Here is a 26,380-nt window from a genome sequence, read left to right as displayed (position 1 = left end):
AAGTTAAAATAAAATTCCATTAAATTCCTGCCTCATATCTTAAACTCAAATTTCAGCATTATAAAGGTTGAAATAATGAAAACAGTTTTCAAAAAGATAGTAATCTTAAAGTGGAGATGTCTTTCTAATTCCTGATATCCTCGATCCCTTTCATATCGCCTATTTTGGGATTTGGTATTCTGTAATGTTTCTCTGAGCAGTCAAATAATAGACATTTCAAAGATCTCTTACGTTTTGTACTTCAATTCCACTGTTTCTGCAGCCCGACTTTGCTATTTCATAGTGTTGTATTTCTTCGAAAAGCTAGTGATTCTTGCTGATTCATGTGAGGGCATAAATTCAGCAATATTGGTGACGTGGATAAACTTTCTCCATGTAAATGAATCTTACTGTGCTGAAAGTCTTAAATCCAAAGGCTGATTATAAGGATCTTGCCTGTGGTAAATCCCAGCTAGATTTCCTTGTCAAGTTTTTCCTATGGAAAGGGATTTGCATTTTGGATTCAAGGCCACCCGAACTATTTTAGAGATTGGAGTTACACAGAGATTAACCTTTTGTCTCTCTGGCCTGCCTCACTCTAATCCCCTCTGCAGGTCTTCAAATTTTTGAGAGTATTGTGTTTCAGATATCAAAATCTACTCTTCAATACTAGAGTAGCTGTTCCACAAACATTTGACAAATTTTTCCAGTGACTTCCCAAACCCGCATTTGTTTCCATTCCCTACTCTAAACTAAATATTATCCCAAGAATTTCATGGGAAGACTCTTTCACAGGAGTGGGGGATCTTTCTTTGGCTTCTATTTTCTTGGGAGTTTCTCATCTCTATATAATCCCTTATCTATACTGTATGGTTAGTTTGATATTTCAAGACATTCTTCAGTATTCTAGTAGGCAGCTGGTGATTCTCTTGACTTTGGAGTGTTGTAATGTTTGTTTTTATTTTTATATTCTTCGAGCAATGCAAAGAAACTTTGAAAAAGAGACCTTATTACATATAGAGGAAAACCAGAAATTTTTTTAAAACATTGATATTTGACCATATACTTAAACATTTCTTTGTAACAAAATTAAATGATAAATACAATATGAAGGCCTTAAACAAAATTAAAAGAAAAATGACTAGTAAATAAAAATTATAGGGAAGCAATAGATTAATAATTTAATGTCCTTAATATGTAAATAAAATTTAAAAACGATTATAAGAAGACAAAACCACAATTGAAAGACAGACAAAACATATTACAAATGATGAAATGCAATGGCCCACAACAAATGAAAGATGTTCAGCATAAGCAGTAATCAAAGCAGTGCAAATTAAGATAATGGGCCTCTCTCCCCTCCCCTTTTTATTTTTGCCTAGAAGCTTAGGAAAGATTTAAAAAGAAATACAAATACGCTGAAACAAAAAAAGATAGTGGAGAATTGGTATTGTCCTATACTAGCAGTGAAGGTGATGACAGAAACGTCCTACAGGTCAATTTAAAATGTGCCTCCAAATAATTGCTAAAAACATATTAAAAAAATAAGCCACTTTTAGAAATTCTTTCTGAGAAAATTACCTGGAATCAAGTAAGGTGTAAATATAGGGTTGTATACTGTAGCGTTGATAGTAACTATAGAAAATGATTAGAAATTTATTAAAAATATTACAAAATATTGAGAATAGAAGCATTCATCAAGGGACATAAATTTCACAAGAGCCAAAGCTCTATGTCCATTTATTGACTGAGAAAATTGTCGATATGTTAAGTTGAAAAGTTACAGAACTATTACTAAGATCATGTTAATATAGAAATTATATACACAGTCATTATTTATTTGGATATACTTATGTGACACAGAGGTATGTGTGTATACATACATAGAAAATTATGTGGATGTTTATAAATCAAAATATCAATAATGGTTACCTCTTGGAACCATATTATATATATTATATTGTTTTTGTATTTCACTTTATTTTCAGATCACTTTCCTATACCTAAATGTTAATTTTCAAATTTTACAAGTAGAATAATGTCATATTTTGAAACATGCTAAGTAGGAAGTCATTTCAATTATATAGAAAATTACTTCCCCTAGAGAAATAACTAAGAATATATGTGAAGAACATGACATTAAAAGCTATTTTTTCTGTTTTGGGTTAAAGTAGACATATTTTCCTCATCTTTTATTCTTATTACAAGTGTTTCTGTTTTTAGTTTTATTCTGTCAGGTAAAAGTGTCTCTGTCTGATCCCTCACAACCAGCCCTAAAAATAGGTCAGTAACTCTGAATTATAATAAAGTTACTAGTTTTTCCTTTCTTTTTCTTCACATTTTTCAGCACAATTTAACAGTCAGATATAATTTGGGCAGTATGATATAAAACTGAGTTTTGGAAAATAGGTGATATAATCAACAGACACATTTTATTTTATTATTTTGTTATTTGGTATACTTCATTTGATTTGTTCAATTAGCCTGCTTTTTTGTAATGATCCATATTAACTTTGCATTGAAGGGGCCAGATTTCTTATTAACTGAAAAAACGTAATTGACAAAACTACTTTTAGCTTTGTTAATACCTTCTAATACCATAAAACAAATAAAAAGTGTTTTTAATCACATTAAAAAATAATGTATAATAATATTGACATTTTATAAAAAACTGAATTTGCAAATTATGACACTTTTATAATTAACTTTTAGCTGAATGAATCACTAGAATATTTTCTATATATGAAAGACTGTTTTTATGTAAGAGTATTTTAACTTTCTTCACCAGGCTATAAATAACTTGCAACCCCTTATAATTTTTATTGCTTTTGAGAATACAATATTGTTTTACAGAGTCCTGGTAGACAATCTCCAAAGCTAAAGCAAATATTCAATACACTATTTAAATAAATCTCAGGAATTTCTATTTTCTCACATTCTTTCTGTAATTAAATATGAACTTTGCACTATAAATGTCCATGCTTAGATTGATTCTCCTTTCTCTCTCGCCCTCTGTCCACCTCGCCACCTCTCTCTCTTTCTCTCTCTCTCTCTCTCTCACACACACACACATATACACAATTGGTGTGATTTGGAACACATGGAAGACATCATGATTGAATGTAGAAGATTTAGTGTATCATGGCTGATCTTTGGAGATTTCTGTGTATAGAGATATTGTAGTGTGACACTCACTTTGCCTATTTCCTCAGCTGCCAGAAGTGCTGACTGCTGATGGTTCAACTCTTGACTTCCCATTACTTCATTCAAGTTTATGTTCCCCTCTTGGGTACCATGATATCAATGATTAGTTGATGCAAAAATACAAGCCTGATTCTCATTCCTCAATCTGGGACATCTCTGGAAGGCCATCCCAGCTTAAGAAGGCCCAGTAGGATTGTAGTACCTTTGGATCATGTGATCCCTTTGTACAACTGCATTATACTTGACTCCTTTTGTTTTGCATTCTGCTGCTGCTCCCTTACAGGTATTGCTGCAGATATCACACCTCAATAAACTTCCTGTAAGTACATCATAGACTCAGGGTCTGTTTCCTGGAAAACTCCTGTTAAATAGTCTGTGATTTTTAAAAATACTTTTTAAAGAGTACTTATAGTTTGCCTTCTATAGCATCTTTTAAAAACTCTTTTCTTACAGGGACATGAAAAACTACCTCAAGTTTTCTGTAGTGGAAAAATACCTCAAGTTTCCTGTAGTGAAGGAACCATCTAGTTTACATAGACAATTGAGAAAGGAAGCTGTATGGAACCTCATGAATGAGTGAATAAATCCATCATCTGTTCACATAATGATTATCACCAAATGGATCCATTCCATTGCTGATAAAATGGAAAGAATGTTCTCTGTGCATCTATCCCTATTATTATATATACAGCCAGATGAGCTATGATTCTATTAGTTCCCAGAATCATTAGGGTCAAGTCAGGTTACCATTCAGGAAGAAAGTATAATGGAAAATCATGCTGCTACAGCAGTATTAATGATTCATTAGGTGACATTCTACCCTCTGGATGTTCATGAAATAATCTAAATCCAAAGTGTCATAGAAGCTACACCAAAGCCATGACACAATAAAACAAAAGAAACGTTATGCCAAGTTATATGAGTGGAGAACTCAGCCTAACATACTATGTATTTTTTTTGCATCAGTGGTGCTAAAGATGAGTGTAATTTTTTGAAAATTCAAAATTACATGTAATAGCCCATATCTATCTGGTTGTTTTAAATTAACCTAAGAATTTTGATTTCATTTATAAGTCCAGTTTATGGTCCTAAAGCCTTGTCTACTGATTATGCTTTTTATAAGCATAATAAGAAAATACAGCATTTTGTCAAGTTCCAAGGTCTTTCTTCAAACTACAGCTGTTCTACCTTTAAGCATAATATTTGATCTTCAACCTAATAGGAATAGCTATTTAGTAATAGTAATAATAATAATAATAGTAAGCTTTTATGCAGTGTTTACAATGTGCCAGGCATTATTCTAAATTCTTTACATATTTGACTTCATACTATTACTATCCCAACTTCATTTATTTATTGTTAAATAACTTCAGTTTTTATTTTAGATTCAGAGGATAAATGTGAAAATGTGTTACAAGAGTATATTGTGTGATGCCGAGGTTTGCTGTACAAATGATTCTGGCACTCAGGAAGAGCACATAGTACTGGGCAGGTACTTTTTCAGGCCTTTTCTCCTCCCTCCCTCTCCCCTCTAGTAGTCCCTGATGTCTATTATTCCCATCATTATGTCCATGCGTATACAATATTTAGCTCCCGCATGTGGTATTTGGTTTTCTGTTGCCAAATGAATTAGCTTAGGATAATTACCTCTGGCTGCATCCATGTTGCTGCAAAGGGCATTATTCTATTCTTGTTTATGGCTGCATAGTATTCCATGATGTATTTCTTTATCAACTTTATTTTGTTTATCCAATGAACCATTGGTGGGCATCTAGGTTGATTCCATGTCTTCACTATCATGAATAGCGCTGTGATGAACATATGAGCACATGTATCCTTTTCGTACAATGATTTATTTTCCTTTGGGTATATACCCAGTCATGACATTGCTGGGTTAAATGTAATTCTGTTTTAAGTTTGAGAAGTCTCCAAACTGTTTTTCACAGTGGCTGAACTAACATACTTTCCTGGCAACAGTGTATAAGCATTTCTGTTTCTCCACAACCTCATCCACATCTGTTATATTTTGACTCTTTAATAACAGCCATTTTGACTCATATGAGCTAGTATCTCATTGTGGCTCAGTTTGCATTTCTCTGATAATTAGCGATGAGAATTTTTTCAGATGTTTGCTGTTCGTTTGTATTAGTCAAGTTTCTCCATAGGGACAGAACTAATAGGATACGTGTATATGTGAAAGGAAGTTTATTAGAGAGAATTGGCTCATACAATCACAAGGTAAAGTCCTGTGATAAGCTTTCTGCAAGCTGGGGAAGGGAAAGAAGCCAGTAGTGGCTCAGTCCGAATCTGAAAGCCTCAAAACTAGGGAAGCCGACAGTGTAGCCTTAGTCTGCGGCCAAAGGCCCAAGAGCCTCCTGCAAACCACTTGATGTAAGTCCAAGAGTCCAAAGGCCAGAGAACCTGGAGTCTGATGTCCAAGGGCAGGGGGAATGGAAGGAAGCATTCAACATGAGAAAGAGAAGACACCCAGAGACCCATCAAGCAAAGTTATCCTATCTTCTTATGGCTGCTTTGTTTTTGCTGGGTTGGCAGCTGATTGGAAGGTGCCTACCCACACTGAGGGTAGGTTTTCCTCTGCCAGTCCACTGACTCAAATGCCAATCTCCGCTGACAACACACTCACAGACACAGCCAGAAACAACACTTTACTAGCCATCTAGCATCCTTCAATGCAATCAAATTAACACCTAATATTAACTGTCAGGCCTCTGAGCCCAAGCTAAGCCATCATACCCCCTGTGACCTGCACGTACACATCCAGATGGCCGGTTCCTGCCTTAACGGATGACATTCCACCACAAAAGAAGTGAAAATGGCCTGTTCCTGCCTTAACTCATGACATTATCTTGTGAAATTCCTTCTCCTGGCTCATCCTGGCTCAAAAGCTCCCCTACTGAGCACCTTGTGACCCCCACTCCTGCCTGCCAGAGAACAACCCCGCTTTGACTGTAATTTTCCTTTACCTAACCAAATCTTATAAAACGGCCCCACCCCTATGTCCCTTCGCTGCTGACTCTCTTTTCCGACTCAGCCCTCCTGCACCCAGGTGAAATAAACAGCCTTGTTGCTCACACAAAGCCTGTTTGGTGGTCTCTTCACACAGATGCGAGTGAAATTAACCATCACACTGATTGAATGTTTTATTTTGAGAAGTGTCTGTTCATGTCCTTTACCTGTTCTTTAATGGGGTTATTTGCTTTTTGCTTGTTATAAGCTTCTTACAGACTCTGCATATTAGACCTTTGTCAGATGCATAATTTTTCAATTATCTCTCTTTGCTGATGATATGATTCTATACCTATAAAACCCTAAAGAGTCTTCTCCTAGAAATGATAAACATCAGTAAATTTTAGGATATAAAATAAATGTACAAAAATCCGTAGCATTTCTGTACACCAATAACATTATAGTTGAAAACTAAATCAAGAACACAATCCCATTTACCATAGACACACAGACACACACACACACACACACACACACACACACACACACACACAAATATCTAGAAATACAGCTAGCCAAGGAGGTAAAATATTTCTACAACTACAAAACACTGCTGAAAAAAATCAGGACTATCGCAAGCACAGAAAACCAAACACCACATGCTCTCACTCATAGGTGGGAATTGAACAATGAGAGCACTTGGACACAGGGCAGGGAACACCACGCATCGGGGCTTGTCATAAGGTCGGGGGAGCGGGGAGGGATAGCATTAGGAGATATACCTAATGTAAATGACGAGTTAACGGGTGCAACACACCAACATGGCCCATGTATACATATGTAACAAACCTGCACGTTGTGCACATGTACCCTAGAACTTAGAGTATAATAAGAAGAAAAAGAAATCAGAGACAAGACAAATAAATGGAAAAGTACCCCGTGCTTATGGATTGGAAGAATCAATATGGTTAAAATGGCCATACTGCCCAAATCAATTTAAAGATTCAACACTTTTTTTAATCAAACTACCAACATCATTTTTTCACAGAATTAGAAAACCCTATTCTAAAATTTATATGGAACCAAGAAAGAGCCCAAATAGACAAAGCAGTTCTAAACAAAAAGAACAAAGCTGCATGCCTCATATTACAACTTCAAACTATACTATAAGGCTACAGTAACCAAAGAGCATGGTACTGGCACAGAAACAGGTACATGGAAAATGGAACAGAATAGAAAACCCAGAAAGAAAGTTGCACACCTACAACCATAGGATCTTTTACAGTGTCGACAAAAATAAGCAATGGGGAAATCAATCCCTATTCAATAAATGGTGTTGGCATTACTGGCTAGCCATATCAAGAAGAATGAAATTGAACCCTTAGCTTTCACCATATGCAAAAATTAACTTCAGATGAAGTAAAGATTTAAATGTAAGACCTCAAATGATAAAAATCCTAGAAGAAAACCTAGGAAATACCATTCTTGACATTGGCCATGGCTAATAATTTGTGGCTAAATCCTCAAAAGCAATTACAACAAAAACAAAAATTGACAAGTGGAACCTAATTAAACTAAAGTTTTTCTGCACAGTAACTTTACATAAATGGAAACTAAGCCTAAGAGTGTTTAGGTGACTTGTTGAAGTCACACAGCTAGTAACTGTCAGAGCTAGGATTTTATACCAGACAATCTGGCTCTGGGCTTTTTATTATTGGAATCAATTTGTGCCTTATAATGAACTAAGCATTGGAGAAGGATATAAAAGAGAAAACTTGGGGGCTCAAAATATTCTAGGCTAAGAGCTAAACAAACCAACAATTAGATAGTTCATCCTGCAGGTAAACATAAGATGCAGAGACATCTTTGGGGCTGAGAAAGTTTCTGAAAGAAGATGAGTTTTGATATTAATATTAGAAGAGGATAAGGAATGAGGAGTGAACTGGGAAGGGTATACCATGTAGACAGATATGTTGTACAAGATTATAGATGTATGCCAGCATATGGCATTTTGGGAAATACAAGAAATTTAGTATGGCTGGAATAAAGGGGCTTGCTGTGTTGCAGTAAGGGAGGTCAGAATGGGAGATAGGAACAATCATTTTATAAAGTGCCTTTCATGCCTTGTAATAAGCTGTAGCCTGATACACCTTCAAGAAAGGTAAATATCTATTTATATAGTGAGTTTATATCTGTGTCTTATATCTACTGACCCAACCACAAATGGTGTCATGGGTTCCCATGATTGTGGCACTGAGCTAGGATGCCTTAAATGACTTTGTGGCTAACGATTGTCTGGTTAATGAAAACAGTGAAGATATAATTCCTATTTCAGGGGAGGCCAGACCAGATATGCCTCATGGTATTTAGTGGGCTAAGTATTGTGGAATACATGAAACTTGTCTCATGAATGAAAATAGTAAAATCACTGAGTGAACCAAAGGGAATCCTCAAGTGGATAAGAAATAAAAGAGAAAAGGCAATAGTGGTGGAAAATCTCTACAATTTTTGAAAGCCCTAGTTGTGAATTTGTAAAGTTCCTAAGCCTGCAGCATAGTGGGAAATTCTACATTAAAAATTCAGGCACTGGGTCCAGATGCTACAGTAGTTAAAGTAGATATTTAAAGATTTACAAGTTGAAATGATGATGCACCATTCCTCTTTCTCCCTGGAGTCAGGAAAACAAAGTGCTGTAGAGCTTTCAAAAACGAGTTTAACATAGAATGCTCATTAGAAAACTGAGAAGGGCTCAGAGAACAAAAAGGAAACAGTGAAATAACTCAGAGAACATTATCCATAGCAAACAGTTAATATCTCTCAGGCTGGGGGAACTAAGTTTGAAGTTGTGATCAAAGTTCAAAAATCTTGGATTGGCCGGGCGCGGTGGCTCACGCCTGTAATCCCAGCACTTTGGGAGGCCGAGGCGGGCGGATCACGAGGTCAGGAGATCGAGACCATCCTGGCTAACACGGTGAAACCCCGTCTCTACTAAAAATACAAAAAATTAGCCGGGCGTGGTAGCGGGCGCCTGTAGTCCCAGCTACTCGGGAGGCTGAGGCAGGAGAATGGCGTGAACCCGGGAGGCGGAGCTTGCAGTGAGCCGAGATCGCGCCACTGCACTCCAGCCTGGGCGACAGAGCGAGACTCCGTCTCAAAAAAAAAAAAAAAAAAAATCTTGGATTAGGAGCTGGCAGTAGTGGCAGGACCATCAACCACCAAAGGAGCATTGGGATAAAGCTTGGACACCACATGCAAGTGTCACATAGTGGGTGCTGGACCACTGAAATTGCCACCTGGTTGATCTGAGGACTGCCTTGGAGGTGGGGGTAGGGTGCTGAGCCTTCTGAAGGAATGCTCAGAACTAATACTAGGATTGAGACTGAGGAAGATGCTTGACCTTGCATTTGCTAGAACTGCTGAAAAATGTTGGAATCAGCTGCTGCCCATTACTGGAAGATACCCAAGTAAAAGACTATGACCCATCTGGGATGGACACAGAAGCCATAAACATAAGGCAGATTATCTCTTCTCCCTTTATTCTGACTTTTAGTCTAATACTAGTGCTTCAGTGGCAGAATCTAACTAAAAGTCAACAGGAAAGAAGTCTAGAAAGTGTAGCTCAATGTTTGTAGACCCCTAACACACATAAAAGGATAACACACAGGAGGATAGTAATGGAGGCTGAGACCAAACAAGAAAATTACCAGTACTTGGCAGGCATTTTCTTCCAATGAAAAAATAAAGTCAATGTGAAAAAAAAAAAAAAAAAAAAGTCTGTGAGCCAGGAGACTGAGTATTCACCTTAGTTTGTGGGACTTCCACTCCACAATGGACACATCAGACCCCATACCCAGAGACCGCATTCACAAAGTAAAAAGAAGGAGGGTCCTTCCACCACTTAAATGAACTCTTCTAAAATTACCAGCTGTGGCTTTTTTGTGTTGTTTTTACCCAAGAAAGGTAAATGCTTGTTTATATGGTGAGTATGTATCTGTGCCTTATTTCTACTGACCCACTCACAAATGGTGTCATGGATTCCCATGACTGTGGCACCGCGCTGGGAAAGCTTAAATGATTTTGCAACTAACAATTGTCTGGTTAACGAAAATAGTGTGGATACAATTCTTATTTCAGGGAAGGCCAGACATGCCTCATGGTACTTGGTGGCTTAAGAGTTGTAGAATACATGAAACTTGTGTCATGAATAGAAATAGAAAAATAACTGAGTGAATCAAAAGAAATCTTCAAGTGGATAAGAAATAAAAGAGAAAAATCAGTAGTGGTGGAATCCCATCACACTACTATTGACCATTTTAGAAGCAGTAGACTGAAAGGAAAATAAATATAATACTAATGTTATCAGAAAAGGCAAGAAGCAAGCTGATGGTGCTGTACTTTTTTCTTTTTCTTTTTGGAATGAAATAGGGGAGATTGCTTGTTTTCTTTTGGCTTCACAATATTGCCAAGACTATTTCTTTTTCTTTGTTCCTATGTTTGTCTGTTTAGCTGCTATTCTTCCAGTAAGTCATCTCCTTCCTTCTAGTAGGGTAGAGAAGTTGAGAGGAGGGATAGTGGAAGGCAGTCACTTAAAAATTTGAGAGGTCTTTTGTGTACCAATAACTTTATTTTACTTTAAAGGAATAAATTCTCACTAGCTATAAAGACACAGTCACACACATACACAGACATACACACACACGTACACGTTATTAACACATAACTCTGGTTATATATATGTTTTGTATGTTGTACAATCTTTATTCTAATCTTTTTTTACTTAGTTCATCTCCTTTTCTATTCTGTCTGCCCACCATCACTACTATGTTCCAGTTATTTCTCCATGCTTATGTAATTATATGTGAATATATATTAAAAATGTCATTTTAAAATGTATGATTATATTGGATATAATTTTTATATCTTTTTTCTCAAATAAGAGTATTTTATCAAAATACTCAATTTTAAAGGTTGAATAATATTTCATTGCACATATATATCCCATTTTATTTATTCATTTATCCATTGATGGACATTTAGGCTCTTTGCATATCTTGACTATTGTGAATAATGGCACAGTAAGCATTGGAGTGCCAATACTTTTTCATAATACTGATTTTAATTCTTTTGACTGTATACCCAGAAGTAGAATTTCTGGTTCTTATGGGAGTGCTATTTTTATTTTTTTGATGACTTTCCATATTCTTTTCTGTAGCAGCTGCACAATTTTGCATTCCTACCAACAGTGTTGAAGTGTTCCAATTTATCTATACCCTGGCCAATACTTATTATTTCCTGTTCTTTTGATTGTGGCCATCTAAATTTGTATGAGATAATATCTCATTTTGGTTTTAATTGGCATTTCCCTGATGATGAATGACATTGAGCATCTGTTTATATACTCAATGGCCATTTGTATATCTCCTTTAGAAAAGTGTCTGTTCAAGTCTTAGCCCATTTTAAAAATTGGGTTATGAATGTTTTGCAGTGGAGCTACATGAGTTCCTTATATATTATGTATTTTGGAAATTGTCTCCTTATCCGATAGATGATTTGCACATATTTTCTCTCATTAAGTAGGTTCTCTGTCAACTATTGTTTCCTTTGCTGTACAATTTTTTTAAAAAAAGGAAGAAAAAATTTCCTTTTTTAAGGAAAGCTTTTAAAAGAACATGACATAATCTAAACAATAATTTCCCTGTTAATGGCAAGAATATTTGTTTTTGCCATTATAAGCAATACTACTATAAACATACTTACACATATAGATTTACTACAATTGCTTTGAATTCTAAGATAAAGTTTTCCAGAAGTGGTATTACTGCATTAAAATATATTGGTATTTTTAATTTTAATAGATATCTCCAAGTTGGTCTCCAAAAAGCTGTTAACAATTCACATTCATTTTCAATATGTGAACATGTTTTTACCTTAACCCCTCCCCGCAATAGACTGTAGACATTAACAACTTCTTATGCAATCTACATTATAATTATTTCTCAAGTCAGTCATTTGCTTATGAAATAATTGTAATATATTTTCTACACAAATATTATACTTAATCACATATGCATATATTATTTTTATAAAATTAAAGTATCCTCTGATTCTAGATTTATTTTTATACACAAGCCTTAAATCTACATAAAATTATAGTGTATAAAACAGAAGAATGGAGTCAATTTTTATCTTTTCCCATTGGTTAGCCAGACATTAAGTATCATTGGTTTAATAATGTCATTTCACACTGAATTGACTATCAGTCTCTTCTTATTTTAAATTCTTACGTATGCTAGAATATATTTTGTAAATGCTTTCCTCTGTTTTAACTGATTTTACTGTGGAGTAGTAACTGACACCAGATAAGGTGCATACCCCTTCACAACTACAGATATACAAACACAAACCCAAAAAGACCTTTTGCATGTATGAATGTCTGTGTATGTGTGCGTGTGTAATTTTCTTGATTTTTCTTAAATACATATTCTAAACAAATATTTTTTACTATTTTGTCCAATATCCCCACAATCCCTACTGTCTCTAATTGGAATTACACCATTAATGGTGAATGTAAATGTACAGCAAATATTATTTGGAAATATAAATATACATTTGGGACAATTTTAGTTTTATCACAGTAAGTTTTTCATTTCAAAACATTATATTATTTGTTTAGGTCTTTTTGTTTGCCTAGATTTTATACTTTTTTTGCTAGGGCTATATCTGTCTTATTAAGATGATTAACAATTTTATATACTTGTATAGCTTAAATACTTTAAAATAAAAGCTTTATTTCTTCCATGTAAACTAAGTTCAGTATTTTATACTGTATCCTGTGTTTTCCTCTGGTCTTTTGATTACTTTTTCTAGTTACAGCAAGATGTGATTTCTTTCATTTTCTTTTTTTAATTTGAACATGTTATTGTACCTTCTCATTCTATTAATGGCCATCTTCCCATATGTGCTCTTCTATTTAGATAAATATTTCTCTATTTTTATTAGAAAACAACATACCAACCCTTTCCCTATCTAAATGCTGTCTTGCCAAGATACTGTATTTCCCCAACTTCTACTTCAAGATAAGTTTAGAATATTCTGACATCCCTTCCCCGCTGCAACTCTCTACCCTTGTTACCTGCCCTGAATGAAACTTTTTGAATGATTTCACTTAATTCTCTTTATTTTCCTCTGTTTAGTTGGCATTATTTAGTAATTTCAAGACAATGCTTTTCATCTATTTGGTTTTAAGTATGTGTGTGTGTATGTATGTGTGTGTGCGTGTGTGAATAAAGAAGCAGAGAAAGACAGAGACAGAGAGAAAATGAGAGAGATATATGTTTTGTTAGAGAAACCAAAGAGCATTGATTAGCATTGTTTCTTTTCTTCTTCGTCTTCTATACCAAGTTCTAAACTATTATATTTATTGTTATTTAGAATCCTTCTTTGTGTTGTTTTTCTCAGATGTCATAAATAATTGCATTTCTTTCAATGTTTTCATTCCATCCTGACAGATGATAAATCACATTTATCTTGAATATAATATTGTTGGGTTAGTCCCCTTCTCCCCATAATCAGCAGATGCTATTCCACTGACTTAAAGCATAAAAAATTATAGATGGAATACATGAATTTTATTCATTTTCTGTAATTTTTTATTTGAAATCTAAAGTTATTAAAATGTTCTTTTTTTTTCAGAATGTAGAGTTTTTAAAACTATGTCATTTTAGAAAAACCAAATGGAGGATGATGGACTAGAAGCCTCCACCTATCATCTCCCTGACAGGAAACATCAAGTTAACAACTATTATCACAGAAAAAACAAACAAACAAACAAAAAACTTCCTAAGAGCCAAAAACGAGGTGAGCCCTCATAGTACCTACCTGATTTTAACTATGTATTACTGAAAAAGACACTGAACAGTTAGAAAAAGTCTTGAATCTCGAATCGCCTCCAATGGAAACACAACATGCCAAAACCTATGGGATATAGCAAAAGGTATACTAAGAGGGAAGTTTATAGCTCTAAGTGCCCGCATCAAAAAAGAGAAAAAACTTCAAACAAAATATCTAACAATGCATCTTAAAGAACTAAAATAGCAAGTGCACACCAAACCCAAAATAGTGGAAGAAAAGAAATTATAAAGATCAGAGCAGAAATAAATGATTGAAATGAAGACAATAATACAAAAGATCAATGAAACGAAAAGTAGGTTTTTTGAAAAGTTGAACAAAATCAACAAACCTATAGTCAGACTAAGAAATAAGGAGAGAAGATCCAAATAAATAAAATCAGAAATGTAAAAGGAGACATTGCAACTGATACTGCAGAAATTCATGGGATCATTACTGGCTACTATGAGCAATTATATGCCAATAAATTGGAAAATCTAGAAGAAATGGACAAATTCCTAGAACACATAAAATCTACAAACATCGAACCAGGAAGAAATCCAAAACCTGAACAGAATCTAATTCACCAGTGAAGCTATCTTTACTGGGATAATTTTTTGCTGGGAGAATGCATCTTTACTGAGAAAACATTCACCAGATATTTAAAGAAGAACTAATACCAATCCTACTCACACCATTTTGAAAAATAGAGAAGAGAGTACTTCCAAACTCATTCTATGAAGCCAATATTACCCTGATACCAAAACCAGATAAAGACATATAATAAAAAGTAAACTACAGGGCAATATCTCTGATGAATATTGATGCAAAAATCCTCAACAAAATACTAGCAAATCAAATTCAGCAAGGTATTAGAAAGATCATTCATCATGACCAAGTGGGGACTATCCCTGGGAAGCAAGAATGGTTCAACATAGGCAAGTCATTCAATGTGGTACGTTATATCAAAAGAATGAAGGCTAAAAACCGTATGATAATTTCAATTGATGCTGAAAAAGCATTTGATAAAATTTAATATCCCTCTAAGATAAAAACCGTCAAAAAACTGGGTATAGAGGGAACACACGTCAACAAAATAAAAGCTATATGTAACAGACAAACTCACAGCTAGTATCATCCTGAATGGGGAAAAACTGAAAGCCTTCCCCCTAAGATTTAGAACATGACAAGGACACCCACTTTCACCACTGTTATTCCACATAGTACTGGAAGTCCTCACTAGAGCAATCAAGAGAAAGAAAGAAATGTCATCCAAATTGACATGGAAGATGTCCAATTATCCTTGTTTGCAGATTATATAATCTATATTTGGAAAAACCTAAAGACTCCATGAAAAAACAATTATAACTGTTAAATTCAGCGAAGTTGCAGGATACAAAATCAACATACAAAAATCAGTAGCATTTCTATATCCCAAACGTGAGAAATCTGAAAAAGAAATTAAAAATGTAATGCCATTTACAGTAGCCACACAAAAAATTAAAAACCTAGGAATTAACCAAAGACGTGAAAGACCTCTACGATGAAAACAATAAAACACTGAGAAAAGAAATTGAAGAGAACACCAAAAAATTGAAAAATATTTTGTGTTCACAGATCGGAGGACACAATATTGTTAAAATGCCCATAACACCCAAATCGAGCTACAGATTTAAAGCAATCCCTATCAGAATACCAATGACATCCTCACAGAAATAGATGAAACAATCCTGAAAGTTATATGGAACCACAAAAGATCCAGAATAGCCAAAACTATCCTAAGCAAAAGTAGTAAAACTGAAAGAATCATGTTACTGACTTTAAATTATACTATAGAACTATAGTAATCAAAATAGCATCCTATTGGCATAAAACACACACACACACACACACACACACACACACACACACACACACCCCAATGGGACAGAAAAGACAACCCATAAATAAATCCACACACTTAACATTGAACTTATTTTTGACAAATATGCCAAGGACATACACTGGGGAAAGCTAGTCTCTTCAATAAATGTTGCTGGGAAAACTGGATATCCATATGCAGAAGAATGAAATTAGACACCTGTCTCTCACCATATTACAAAATCAAATCAAAATGGATTAAAGACTTAAGTCTAAGACCTCAAACTATGAAACTCCTCCAAGAAAACATTGGAGAAAATCTCCAAGACATTGGTCTGGGCAGAAATTTATTGAGCAATACTCCACAAGCACAGGAAACCAAAGCAAAAATAGACAAACGAGATCACATCAAGTTAAAAAGCCTCTGCACATCAAAGGAAACAATCAACTAAATGAGGAGTCGGGCCACAGACCGGGATAAAATATTAGCAATCTACCCATTGATCAGGGGCGTAACCAAAACAGAATATATAAGGAGCTCATACAATCCTATAGAAAAAAAAAATCTAATAATCTGATTAAAACATAACAAAAGATTTGAATAGACATTTCTCAAAAGAAGATATACAACTGGCCAACAGACATATGAAAAGGTGCTCAACATCATTATCAGAGACATGCAAATAAAAATTACAATGAGATATCATCTCAACCCAGTTAAAATGGCTTACATTTTACATTTAAAAGACAGACAATTATAAATGCTGGTGAGAATGTTGACAAAGGGGAACCCTCAAATACTCTTGGTGGGAATGTTAGTACAACCACTATGCAGAACAGTTTGAAGTTTCCTCAAAAAACTAAAAATTAAGCTACTGTAGGATCCAGCAATCCCACTGTTGGGTATATACCCCAAAGAAAGAAAATCAGCAAATCAAACAGGTATCTGCACTACCATGTTCGTTGCAGTACTCTTCACAGTAGCTAATATTTGGAAGCAACCTCAGTGTCCATCAAAAGTTGCGGGATACAAAATCAACTTACAAAAATCAGCAGCATTTTTATTTCCCAAAAGTGAGCAATCAGAAAAAGAAATAAAAAACGCACTCCCATTTGTAATAGCCACACATAAAATTAAATACCTAGGAATCAACCAAAGAAGTGAAAAAGACCTCTATAATGAATGAATGAATAAAGAAAATGTGGTACATATACTAATGGATTACTGTTTAGCCATAAAAAAGAATGAGATTCTGTCATTTGCAACAACATGGATGGAACAGAAGGTCATTATGTTAAGTGAAAAAAGCCAGACAGAGAAAGACAAACATTGAATATTCTCACGTATTTTTGGGATCTGAAAATCAAAACAATTTAACTCATGGACATAGAGAGTAGAAAGACAGTTACCAGAGGCTGCAAAGTATAGTGGGGGGCTGGCAGGGAGGTGTTAATGTACAAAAAAAAGAAAGAACGAATAAGTCATATACTATTTGATGCCACAACAGGGTGACTACAGTTGATAATAGCTTAATTGTATATTTCAATTGTATATTTTAATTGTATATTTCAAAATAACTAAAAGAATTGGATTGTTTGTAACACAAAAGATAAATGCTTCAGGGGATGGGTATCTCATTCTCCATTTATGTGATTATATCACATTACATACCTGCATCAAAATATCTCACATTGCATACCTGTATCAAAATATCTCCTGTACCCTACAAATATAGCCTACATTTAAAAAAAATTAAAAAAATAAATTAATGTATCTTCTATTTTTTCACTATTTCTGTTTTGTTGTATATATGTTATCATTGCTCTGACAAATTTTCCTGTTTCCAATTTGTTGGGCTTTCTTAAATTCACGAATATTTGTTTTCTTAGTTTGTCTCTATATTACCTGAGAGTCCTACTGAGAACTGGTGATAAAGCAGGCCCTACTGTTAGAGTCCTGATTCTATCTCAAGTTCAGGGCAGAGCTGGATCACCCCACTCACTCATTTCCTTTCTAGCTTCCTTAGCCTCTTCTGGTCACAGAGAGGCCAGAAAGATCAGACATGTAAGGTCAGTGTCAACTTTCTCTCAGTTTCTATAGATACTTGCAGAGCTCTTCTGGTTCTTACACTTGGATTTCCAACACTAGTTACGAGGAAACAAAGTGAACCAGAGAAGAGAACCCAAATTCTCACTGGTTATCAGTTGTAAAAAGGCCTCAGCAGGCCTCCTGTTTTCCTCTGGAGAGGGTTAGTGTGAAAACATTCAGATCACTGTGAATCAGTTATTTATATAATCAACTAAGAGAGTATTTGATTGTTTGTTAATCTGTGATTGAAGCTATTTCTCAATATAGATTTATGTCTAAAACATAATTATTCGTACATAAAATGTACCATTTTCTTTCATGTCTCTATTCAAGGACAGATAAAGAATAATTATGTATGTATAATATGTTATATAAACATATATATATACACACATATAAATCTGGTAACTAATTTACATTTAAATCTCAGTTTCTTAGTCTGTAAAATAAAGTTAATTTCTCCTATCTTGTAGAATGATAGGGTGTGTTGGAAATGATGGATATAAAGCAGAAAGATTGTGAATATAAATCAGTACCTGGCTCAGAGTTGGCTCTCAATTAATGTAGACTGTTATTTATCATTATTAATATTAGCATAAGCCACAATAAATGAGGGAATTCCAGTTACATATATTCATAGCCACAGCAAAAGGAAGAGCATAATATTTAATTGATTCTCAAATATTATTATATAATGACTATGTCATGTGCCGCATTCAGTGAAAACAAAAGTTAGCAATAAAGGATTTTAGTTCTCAAGGGTTTGATCTTTATTTTGAAGCATATCAATTTCTAATTCAAAAGGCTCCAAATTATTGTAGTTAATTACTGTTAAATATTATTACAGAATAATAATTAATATTGTAAGAGACTTTAATGTATGGCAGATACAGATCTAACTACTGTGTGTCTGTGAGTGTGTGGATGTATGAATATGTATATACTGATAACAATTTTACATAATAACATGTACTGTGATTGCTTCTATTACCTCCACTTTGCTGACAAACTGAGGCACAGAAAGATTATCATCAATTACCTAAGATCCACAACAGATAAATTACAGAAAATCTGGGTTTTGAACTCAGATATCTGTCTCCAAAGTTCACACTGAAAATCATTTTATTCAATGTGTTGTGAAAAGAGAACACACACATACACTTAGAAATTAAGTCTTAGATTGAATGAATTCCCAACCACAACCAAGCTAGTTAAAGAGTAGAGTAGCAGATTTAATTGCAACATTGCAGCACGCACTGATTATGGTTGTTAAAAATTATTCAATACCAGATCCATTGTGTTTTTGGTAATGATCTTACTTAGCTGAACATTCTATTCATAGCCATGACCACAATGTAAAGCAGAGATTTGCTTTAGCATTGTATTTAATCTAAGGGGATCAAGGATCAAGATAACAATCAACATGCTAAATACACCATAAGTGAAGGGTCTTATTTTGTGTGTGGGCTGAAGATGTTTCTAATAAGTCCCCTGAAGAATTTACCTTCAATCAAGTGTTTCTAAATGTTACCATTTTTAATAGAATGCTAAAATAAAATGATAGTTCTAAATAATGATATAATTACTACTTTACAAATAATTTATGTTAGAGATACATTCCCAAGCCCATGTCTGCTACACAATAAATGTTTAATGAAGTTGCTATTCTTCAGATGGGACACTTATACTAAAAACCATTGTATTAAAACACACCATCACTAACTGTGTATGAAAAAAATAATGGAATTTCAATACATACATTTTTATAATGCAAATTCTTTTTTTTAAATTTTGTATTAGGAAAGTTTAAGTTACTATAGACTATTTCTGTGAATCTTTGCTTAATATGACTCTAATTTTCAGATTTAATAAAAAAGTTTTACAAATATAGAGTTTTTCTTAATCTCCATAGTCCCCCTACAGCTAACTGAAAGCAATTTCTACCATATCTATTTCCCATAGCAATTGCATTTATTCTATGTTGTGTGTGTGTACATTTAAAAAATCTGGGAAGAATGTGTGGGAGATTTGCAAATATCCCAACATGAAATAGCTACACATCTCTTCCTCAGGAGGAATATTTCAGAGGCCAGGAGCAGTTAGAAGTCTGTATATCGTTGGTTTAATAGACTTCACATGATCTGGCAGTCACTAAAAATCAAAGTACTAAGAGAAATGCCTTTCTCCATCATAGGTCTAAAACTTACCCACTTCTTCCATGTGGAGCATTGAATGGAAAACTGTTTGGAGTAACATTTTCTCACTCTTTTTTATAATAGTGAAGACATAAAGTTTATTATGCTCTTGAGCCAGCTATTTCAAATGAAGCCAACTATTTCTGATTTCAGAGCAAGAACTAGAGGTCACAAAGAACCTTAATTGTTGGATGTGGGCCACAATGTGCTGTCTTTCATAAATAAAGATGATACTATTAATATACTGGCAACAAGCCAGATATTGTCATTTTTTCCCCCTCAGCAATGGTGACAGGTTTGTACCAATGCACTCATACTACCTTGTCTGGCCCCTCTTGTGACCAGTAGGATACTATTTGTCAGACTTCTAGTAGTGCAGACTGCACCCTGCGGATGTGAATCAGAGCACAGCCATGAGCCCTAAAGTGGGAAGTCAGCCTTGACTCAGTGCAATGCACTAATTAACAGAGCTCACCAGCTACAGACTCATATGCTGTCTAATCAGGCAACCGGACAAAAGGGAACATGTCAGCTTAGAACAATTATGTCAGAGAAGTGTTAATCTGCTGCTTAAACTTTTGGAAAAAATAAAACTTGAAATGAAATAATCTAAATCACATTGTAGCAATTTGAAGTGAGCCATATGAACAAAAGTATATAATAAATCACTCTATGTGATTAAAATCCATTTATGTTATTAATTAGTAGGAAAATAAAGAGAACTCCTAAAATACCAGCAGTTAACTAAAAGAAAACAATGTATGATTAACAAATACAGTGCATACTTCCACTAAATTCCTCTACAATTTTGAAAAAGTGATGTAACAATGCATGTCCTTCCTTAATTCTTTTTGTGTAAATATACTCATATACATCTCTATAGAGACTGTTCCAAGCAAATAAGACTAGCTATGAGAAAATTGGAAGTATACTAAGAGAAGAATGTTAGAGGAACTCAAAATGTATTAACATAATTTTAAATTCAAGCTTTGCTCTTTTCATTTTTTATTCATTTCCTTGATCCAAATATTTGAGTTACTTATTAGAGAATAACAGTGATCACTTACATTGAAATTATTTTCTAGGTACTATCATCACTTATTAAATGTCCCTAAAAATCCCACGAGATTCTACTATTATTGCCATGTTACTGATAAAGGAGTTGAAGCAATAAAAAGTTAATTAACTTGTCCATGCTCACAAAACCAGTTAACTGGTGAAGTTTATTTTTAAATCAAAGCAGTTTGCCTCTATACTGTGTTTTTAACCACTGTGCTGTAGTTCATTGTTAAAACACAGAATGTGTGTTAAGTAATTTTATGACTAAAGGACAGCACAATATGTATTTATTGAGTTAAAACAAGACTTGTGTTCCCTGATTTTGCCATCTCTGACCCTGGTTAGATTCCCCTTTTTTTGCTTTGATAGTGCTCTTTACAGTCTCTCTCATTGATTTTGCCATATTGGATTTTCTACCATTAGTGCTGATGTGTGTCGCTCCCACTAAACAGTGATCCTTTTAATGGCTGGAGACTGAAATCAAATCTTGTCATTTTTTTAAAAAAAACATCATGCCTGATACAGAATAGGGAGACAATATTTATTTGTGGAATTAATGAGTAGATTATTTACCTTATACTTAAATGTCTACTTTAATATAGTTATACCATGATTTCCGTTTTATTTCATGAAAGGAGAACTCCAAGTTTTGAGTGGGTTTTTGAAAATTTTAATTTCAAACTCAGTTTCAGATGGATAAAGTTATTATAAGCTCATAATTCTGGATAAAGATAGTGGATAATTTCCACACCCTGATTTGGAAGTCTAAAAATCAAGAGTTCAATTTTAGACATGATAAAATTGGAACATAAATAAGCGAGCAGTTGGATATATGGGCCTAGATGGGAGATGCAGAAATGTGCAAACAAACAAAAGCTATCCAAACACCATTCAAAAAATACTTTTCTAAGTAACTATGGCATCAAAAAGAGGAAACAACTAATAATTATGATATCACTAAGAGGAAAAATACTTCAGGGAGCTAAAACGGTATACAGTGAAGTATGTATAAATATTAAACTTTCATTAAAACAAAATAAGGAATTGGCCAGATGTGGTGGCTCATGCCTGTAATCCAAGTACTTTGGGAGGCCAAGGTGGGTGTATCACCTGAGGTCAGGAGTTTGAAACCAGCCTGGCCAACATGGCAAAACCCCGCCTCTACTAAAAATGAAAAAAATAATTAGCCAGGCATGGTGGCACATACCTGTAATCCCAGCTACTTGGGAAGCTGAGGCAGGAGAATTGCTTGAACCTGGGAGGCAGAGGTTGCAGTGAGCTGAGATTGTGCCATTGCACTCCAGGCTGGGCAACAAAAGTGAAACTTCATCTCAGCAACAACAACAAAAAAAAGGAATTAAGAAAAAGGAAATAAACATGCCATGCAATTCAAGAAGTATGGTGATGACTTTGCAGATATACGCATATATTCAAATCCATTAAATTGTATACATTAAATAACTGTAGTTTTTTTTTTTCATGTCAATTATACCTCAGTAAAGTGGTTAAAAAAAAGTAGAAAGAATATCACAACAAACTCAGGAACAAAAGAATTAAAATGATAAATCAAAATGATGTTTTCTAAAACAGAACAAAATCAGAAATTATGACACAATAATAAGATCAATTGTTATAAATAAAGTTTCAGTGCTGCAAAAGACATAGCACTCAAATATAAAATTTTCGTTTCAATTCTCAGCAAGGCAAGGTACTTCTATAGAAGGGTACGCCCTTACAGATGGAGCAATAGGGAGCGCACACTTGGACAAGGGAGGGGAAGGGGTTCTTATCCCTGACACATGTGGCTCCTGCTGCTGTGTCGTTCCCCTATTGGCTGGAGTTAGACCACACGGGCTAAACTAATTCTGATTGGCTAATTTAAAGAGAGTACAGGGTGAGTGGTTTGGTGGGAAAAATGGTTATGACAGAGCAGGTAATTGGAATGAGTCAGGGTCAGGTAATCAAAAAAAGTTGCTTTATGAAGTTAAGTTTAAAAGTAGAAGGTAAAAAATTGAACATACTGACATACTGATTCTTTGAAAATAAATTTAAAACTCATATCTAATGTCAATGAATGCAATAATATAAACGAATACAAAATTAAACAATCTTAGAACAGTGGAAGGGAGTATAATCACAACAAGAGGAATTGAAAGTAAGAAATAATTACTGTTTGTGATAAGACAAAAGCATACGCCATCTAATACTTAGGAAAAAAGCTGGATATAGATTTTAGGAACCAGACCCTATTAAAGAGATGCACACATGTGGTTTCATAAGAAATATATTTCTCATATTCAAAGAAGTAATAATATACCATATGCTATTTCAATATTAAAACTCAAATCTTTTACTTTTCAAGTAAAAGGAAAAGGTGATCTGCAAATCATATTATAAAGCACTGTAATGCTAATACTCAGGTCTAACAAAACAGGTGAATAACTTACCTCAAATGAGTCTTACTTACATGTTATTAAATGAATAATACTATGGAAGGCAAAATAATGGATCCTCAAAGATTTCCTCGCCCTAATCTCTAAAACCTGAGATTGTGTTACCTTACAATGGCAAAGAGACTTGCAGTTGTGATTAAAGATACGGATCTTGAAAAATGGTGATATGCCTGAATTACCCTATCCCAGAGAGGCCAATTAATCTACATTAATCCTTAAAAGCAAGAATCTTTCCTGGCTGTGGTCAGAGAATGAGATATGGTAGTGGAAGAAGAGTCCAAAATATGCTATGTAGCTGTAACTTTGACAACAGAGGAAGGGGGCCACAAGACAAGAAAGGCAAAGATATCTAGAGGATGGAAAAGACAAGGAAACATATTCTTCCCTAGAAGCTTCGGAAATAAACTCAGTCCTGCCAAAAACTTAATTTTAGCCCATTGAAACCTATGCCAGAATTCTAAACCTCAGAACAAGAAGCTGATAAATCTGTGTTGTTTAAACTACTATTTTTGTGGCAATTGTTATGGCAGCAATAGAATATTAATACAAACACTAAATGCAATTTATCTTTATATATATAGTACAATATAAAACAACCATGAGTAAAATATTTCCAAGAATAAGCTAATATGTTTTGGGAAATCAGGTAATATACATCATATTATAGGCTTAAAGGAAAACATTCATACAATCATTAGAAGTGATACTAAAAATAAGCATGAAACATAAATATATCTATTTTAAAATGCTAAAAACAATTTATTGAATGATATTACCTTAATAGAGCCTCATGCTCTGATATAATATAGATGGGCATTTATATGGTTTGGCTCTGTGTCCCCATCCAAATCTCATATTGAATTGTAATCCCCAATGTGGGGAGGGACCTGGTAGGAGGTGATTGGATCATGGCGGCAGATTTCCACCTTGCTGTTCTCATAATACTGAGTGAGTCCTCACAGGATCTGGTTATTTAAAAGTGTTTAAAACTTCCCCCTTTGCTCTCTCACTTGCTCTGCCACGGTAAGACACACTTGCTCCCCCTTCACCTTCCACCATGATTGGAAGTTTCCCAAGGCCTCCCAGCTATGCTTCCTGTATAGCCTGTGGAACTGTGAGTCAAGTAAACCTCTTTTTTTATAAATTACCCAGTCTCAGATAATTCCTTATAGCAGTGTGAGAATGGACTAATACAGAGAATTGTTACCAGGGGTGGGGCATTGCTATAAAGATATCTGAAAATGTGGAAGCAACTTTGGAACTCGGTACTGAGCAGAGGTTGGGACAGTTTGGAGGGATCAGAAGAAAACACGAAGATAAGGGACAGTTTGGAACTTCCTAGAGGCTTGTTGAATGGATACAACCGAAAAACACTGATAGTGATATGAACAGTGAAGTCCTGGCTGAGGTGATGTCAGATGGAGATGAGGAACTTATTGGGAACTGGAGTAAAGGTTATACTTGCTATGCTTTAGCAAAGAGATTGGCAGCGTTGTGCCCCTGCTCTAGAGATCTGTGAAACTTTGAACTTGAGATGATTTAGGGTGTCTGGTGGAATAAATTTCCAAGCAGCAAAATATTCAAGAAGTGGCCTGGCTGCTTCTAAAAGCCTATACTCGTTTGCATAAACAAAGAAATGACCTGAATCTAGAACTTATGTTTAAAAGGGAAGCAGAGCATTAAAGTTTGGAAAATTTGCAGCCTGACCATGCAGTAGAAAAGCTGATGTGAATAACCAAGACAATGGGGAAAATACCTCCAGGGCATTTCAGAGACCTTCACGGCAGCCCTCCCATTACATGTCTCAAAGCCATGGAGGAAAAAAATGGTTTCATGGGCAGGCCCAGGACCCCACTGCTCTGTGCAGCTTCAAAACATGGTGCCCTGAATCCTAGCTGCTCTAGCTGTAGCTGTGGTGAAAAGGGTCAACGTACAGTTCTGGCATTGCTTCAGAGGGTACAAGCCCCAAGTCTTGGTGGCTTCTATGTGGTGTTGGGGCTGCAGATGTGCAGATGACAAGAGCTGAGGTTTTGGAGCCTCCAATTAGATTTCACACGATGTATGGAAATGCCTGGATGTCCAGAGAGAAGTCTGCTGCAGGAGTGGAGCCCTTCTGGGGAACCTCTGCTAGAGCAGTGCAGAAGGGAAATGTGGGGTTGGAACCCTGACACAGAGTCCCCATTGGGGCACTGCCTAGTGGAGCTGTGAGAAAGGGCCACCATCCCCAGATCCCAGAGTGGTAGATCCATTGATGGCTTGCACCCTGTGCATTGAAAAGCCACAGAAACTCAATGTCAGCCTGTGAAAGCAGCCATGGGGCTGTAATCTGCCAAGCAACAGGGGCGGGGCTGTAATCTGCCAAGCAACAGGGGCAGGGCTGCACAAGGCCTTGGGAACCCACCCCTTCAGTGTGGTCTGAATGTGAGACATGGAGTCAAAGTTTATATTGGAGCTTTAGGAATAACATCTACTTTGCTGTGTTTTGGATTTTCATGGGGCCTGAAGCCTCTTGGTTTTGGCCAATTTCTCCCTTTTGAAATGGGAATATTTACCCAATGCTTGTACTCTCACTGTATCTTGGAATTGACTAATTGTTTATGATTTTACAGGTTGATTGGTAGAAGGAACTTGCCTTGTTTTAGATGAGGATTTGGAGCTGGACTTTTTGAGTTAATCCTAGAAATGTT

General features: G+C 35.1%; 1 long non-coding RNA gene across 2 annotated transcripts in view, besides 1 other annotated feature; it reads left to right on the top strand.

Moving 5' to 3' along the window:
- The window catches only part of LOC105373777 (uncharacterized), a 63,555-nt gene that overhangs the window by 29,048 nt on the left and 8,127 nt on the right, over positions 1 to 26,380 (top strand). The window lies entirely within an intron of this gene.
- Positions 17,807 to 18,007: a silencer, noted in NCBI's record as "peak3970 fragment used in MPRA reporter construct". NCBI's record gives its function as "represses an SCP1 promoter by STARR-seq MPRAs in K562 erythroleukemia cells {active_cell/tissue: K562}" and the evidence as "EXISTENCE:reporter gene assay evidence [ECO:0000049][PMID:32103011]".

This window comes from Homo sapiens, chromosome 2 (assembly GCF_000001405.40).
Source record: "Homo sapiens chromosome 2, GRCh38.p14 Primary Assembly".
Lineage (NCBI taxonomy): Eukaryota > Metazoa > Chordata > Mammalia > Primates > Hominidae > Homo > Homo sapiens.
This window is presented reverse-complemented; position numbering and strand designations above follow the sequence as displayed.